Here is a 4,543-nt window from a genome sequence, read left to right as displayed (position 1 = left end):
CCAGGTCTGAGCCTTCAGCATGTGCTGGGGGCAGTAGCGAGTGCGGGAGGAGCACGATGGTGAAAGGCTGCAGGGACAGTGAGGCCAGGGAAGGTCTCTGCTGAGGACCATTGACAGCTTTCAGGAACCAGGAGAATGGGTCAGACTCTGAAGGCTACTCAGTTCTGAGGAAGTTTGTTCCAGCCAGTTTCATCTGGATTGAGAAAACTCTGCAGTTGTTCCTGAGGTACTTGAGGAGTCAGGTGCATGAGATTTCTCTCATAAGAATAAAGCACATGGAAAACAGGGTTCTGGCTTTCTAGACTCCAAAATAGGTGGCAGGCAAAGAAAACCACTTCAGAAAAAGTCTGTTGGACACTGCTGACTCAGTGAATGGAGTCACCAAACTAAAGCCTAGCTTGTGCAGTGATGAGAGTCTATCATGTCAGATACGAACTGCACATGCACAAGCCAGGAAGCTACAGAGAGCCCTGAGACCCTGGGCTAGGGATCTAGTCTTGGCCAGAAGCACTGCTAGCTTCCCAGCTGGCCTCTGCATCCAAAGACCAGGCTGAAGTGCATGGACCTCCAGAAAGCCCATCTTTTCTACTTTTAAAATCTCATGGAGGTACCAACCAGATAGGACTTGAATGGAAGATCACCTGATATTACCCTGTTCCATAGGCTTTTGGCATCTCCATTCATTCCGGAACAGCCAGTCAGCCCTCTCTGCTGTGTCCCAGAGCACCAGGAAGTGAGTAACAGTCCTAGAGTGAGACATGGAGGATACAGCCAAGTATCAGAGGTGAGTGGCCAGGCAGCCAGTTGCTCTTCTGTCTCATCCCCTCTGCATGAACATTGTGGGGAGGAGGTCTGGGTGATAGCAACCATTTGGAGTCTCCTCCTTCCTCACTGGAGAATAGCAAGACCTGAGGTCTGCAAGGACCCCACCATCTTGCCTTCGTTGGGGGTTCCTCAGCAGCCAACCGCCTATGCTCCGGGTCTTCAGTTCTGATTTTGATGATTCCTGGGGATGCTATAGAGTTGTCACCTGCCTTGACAGTAAGTGTGTGGGAGCTGGGTTTACTCTGGCAGAAAGAGAAGTACAGGGACTCCTCAGGAGCAAAGCCTCTTCAGGAAAGAAGAGTTGACCTCAGGCGTCTCTTTCAGGAGTGCTGGCTCGCTGCTGCTTCTACACGTCACCGTACTGGGGGAATCCTATGTGAAGCCGCCCCATGTCCTGTCTGCCTGGATACTCACCATGCAGATAGCTCTCTGCATTCAGCAGGGTCTGGCTTAGGCCCTCTCCTGGGGGCCGGAGACCCCTCTGTTCTTCTCCAGACCCTGCAGAATTCTGGAGAGGAGAGGAAGGTGGAACACACACTTTCTTCCTGCTTTTCTAGGTTGCTGGGTCATCTCTCTCCTTCTTTTAGCTACGAACTCACAGTCCACCCACTTCTTCTTCTTTACAAGCCCCTTGGGTCCTCCAAGAACCAAAGTAAAAAAATGCTTTAAAAATGCGCAGGTCCATTCTACTTCCACCCTGCCATGTAGCTTCCCTGAAGTGACGCTGCACAGGTTCTTCCATCTGCTTGTGGGGGAGGAGTTTCATCTGCTTGTGGAAAATAAAAGGCAAGCAAGGGGTACAACTTAATTTTTTTTTTCTTTTGACAACTTAATTTTTTTTTTCTCTTGAGACGGAGTCTCGCTCTATCACCAGGCTGGAGTGCAGTGGCGCAATTTCGGCTCACTGCAACCTCCACCTTCCGGGTTCAAGTGATTCTCCTACCTCAGCCTCCTGAGTAGCTGGGACTACAGGTCCCTGCCACCATGCCCGGCTAATTTTTGTATTTTTAGTAGAGATGGGGTTTCACCATGTTGGCCTGGCTGGTCTCAATCTCTTGACCTCATGATCCACCCACCTTGGCCTCCCAAAGTTCTGGGATTACAGGCGTGAGCCACCACGCCTGGGCGGGATACAACTTAACATTTTTTTTAAAAAATAATATTTAGGAAAAACAATCATAAAGATATTGATTATAAAAGCCCACGATTTTGGTATAAATTTGTCCACCTGAAATAATCAAAGAAAGAGAATCCCATTTCCAAGAGTTTATTCAAATGAAAAGCTGGGAAAACCCTTTCATCTTGGTAAGTGTAGGAGTGGGAGAAATAGCATGCTTAAGTCATTTATTTATAGACAGCCATCCAGTTCTTAGAATATACTCACTGTATTCACACAACACTGTTTTTGAGGCCTACTAATAGTGCTTTATTTGTATGTATGTATGCATATATGTGCACAAATATCTATTTTCTATAGAATATATAGTTAATATAGCTATATTGCATCATGATGAAATTGTGTGTAATTGCTATAATATATATAAAGAAAAATATATACATCTATATAAATGTATAAAATAAACACAATCAGAAAATAAACACACGCAAGCAAAAAACAGATGCAAATACATTTATACTAGGGACCATTGGGTCCTCTTGCCACCTGCAAATACATTTACATAAAATTGTATGTAAAAGCTATGATATATACAGAGAAATATATATATGTATATCAATATAAATGTATACAATAAACACAACCATGTCTTATGCATAAATTCTCCAAGTAAAAGCCATCTAAATTTAGCATACTTTGCAGTACAATAAATGTTGCAAATAAGATCTTTGAAAATGTCCTCTATGGCTTCTTGTCAGGGGAATATTCCCAGGATTTGATGGTTGGGGACATAAAGTATATGCATAATTATTTTCACTAAGTACGAAGAAAATCTCCAAGTGTGTCTGAATCCTTGAGATAAAACATGACATGTCCACATACATTTCCAGTAATTTTGGCATAATCCAAATTTCTAAAATTAATAAACTGATATAAAGTGCTTTCTTTTTTCTTTTTTTTTTTTTGAGACGGAGTTTCACTCTTGTTGCCCAGGCTGGAGTGCAATGGTGCAATCTCTGCTCACTGCAAACTCTCCCTCCTGGGGTCAAGCGATTTTCCTGCCTCAGCCTCCCAAGTAGCTGGAATTACAGGCGCCTGCCACCTCGCCCAGCTAATTTTTTGTGTTTTCAGTAGAGACAGGGTTTCACCATGTTGGCCAGGCTGGTCTTGAACTCCTGACCTCAGGTGATCCACCCGCCTCGGCTTCCCAAAGTGCTGGGATTACAGGCGTGAGCCACCGTGCCTGACCTAAAGTGCTCTTTTGTGTCCTTTATCTGATCACTAATTTTTCTGAGTTTCCCTTCACATCTTTTCAACCTATTAAAGTTTTTCCTACTTTGATTTACCTATTCATATGCTTCTCAGTGTTCTGTTGGATTTCACAAGTCTTTTCTTGTTAATGTAAAATAGTTTCTTAAAAAGAAATCATTACGATTACAGAATGAGTGTTCTGTGTGTCTAAAAATCCTAGTTTCTTCCCGATATTTATTCTCTCATTTTTTGTTAGTAACTATAGCCCCACATATTCAGTTGATAACATCATCATTCATGTAGATACTACACTTCTTAGCCTCCCTTGCAGGTCAGTGTGGCCATGGAACTAAAGTCGGGAAAGTGAGGTAGAGGCGGAATTGTTTGTCTGTGACTTCCAGGGACTTTCCTTACGGGAGGAGGTCTTTTGTTTTTTCTACTCCTTTTTCATGACTGCAGCTTGGGATGCAGTTGTGTTTCCTGGAGCTCCAGCAGTCGTATGTGACTATGAGGAAGTGAGCTGTGTCCTGGGCACAGCTGGGGAGTGCGGAATTTTGATGGCTCACGAAGCGGAGCTGCCACAGCAAACCTGGATGGCCAAGCCTCTGCCTGATTTTACATGAGCAAGAAGTATGCTAACTTCTCTAAGGGACTGTTATTTTGGGGATTCTCTGTCACCTTCAATTGAACCTTATTCTATGTAAGAGAGGCTATACATAGATCTACTCCATAAACACAGATCATAGAGAAGGATCATGAATGACACAGGCAATGTGGCTTTGCCATCATGAATCGGTCAAGATTATTCCATTTTCACTTCTGGGTACCTTGAATGTGGTGTTTGACACGTGTTTCTTTTTCCCTTATCACAATTTTAGCTCATGTAACGACTGCTGGGCTAACCATGGCACATTCTTCCTCTGCATGTACCATACATCAAGGTTCATGTCACTGTCTGATATCAGTGTCATTGTGACAGCCGTAAGAGGATACAGGAGCAACAGTGCAACAGAGTCACCTCTTGCAGCTGATGTATTCCCTTAGGTTTAAGTGAACAGGAAAATAGACAGATTGGCAACAGGGAGCTCAAAAACAGTCTGTCAGATGAGGTCACAGAAACTATGTGCAAATTTAACGTAAAATGCTGAGCTCTGTCCTCAGCTGCATGTGCCTCTGCACAACAGGTTTCTATTCAGGAAGGGCAGCGTAGTTCTTCTCACATTTTTCCCCTTTGTTTTCTCCCAGGCTTCACGGTAAAGCAGAAGATTCATGCTAGGGCATCTGCAGACTGGTCCTAAAGTGCTTTTCTCCACAGGAATGTCACCTGGCCACTGCAGCCAGGGGTCCCAG

General features: G+C 44.1%; 1 long non-coding RNA gene across 1 annotated transcript; it reads left to right on the top strand.

Moving 5' to 3' along the window:
• Positions 1–663: 663 nt before the first annotated feature.
• Positions 664–2,667, top strand: LOC124902398 (uncharacterized). The gene is made up of 2 exons (XR_007062093.1): positions 664–784; positions 1,150–2,667. It is a non-coding gene; the product is annotated as an uncharacterized LOC124902398 (long non-coding RNA).
• The last annotated feature ends 1,876 nt before the right edge of the window (positions 2,668–4,543 follow it).

This window comes from Homo sapiens, chromosome 10, assembly GCF_000001405.40.
Source record: "Homo sapiens chromosome 10, GRCh38.p14 Primary Assembly".
NCBI lineage: Eukaryota > Metazoa > Chordata > Mammalia > Primates > Hominidae > Homo > Homo sapiens.
The sequence above is the reverse complement of the archived record's forward strand: the minus strand, read 5'-3'. Positions and strand labels throughout refer to the sequence as shown.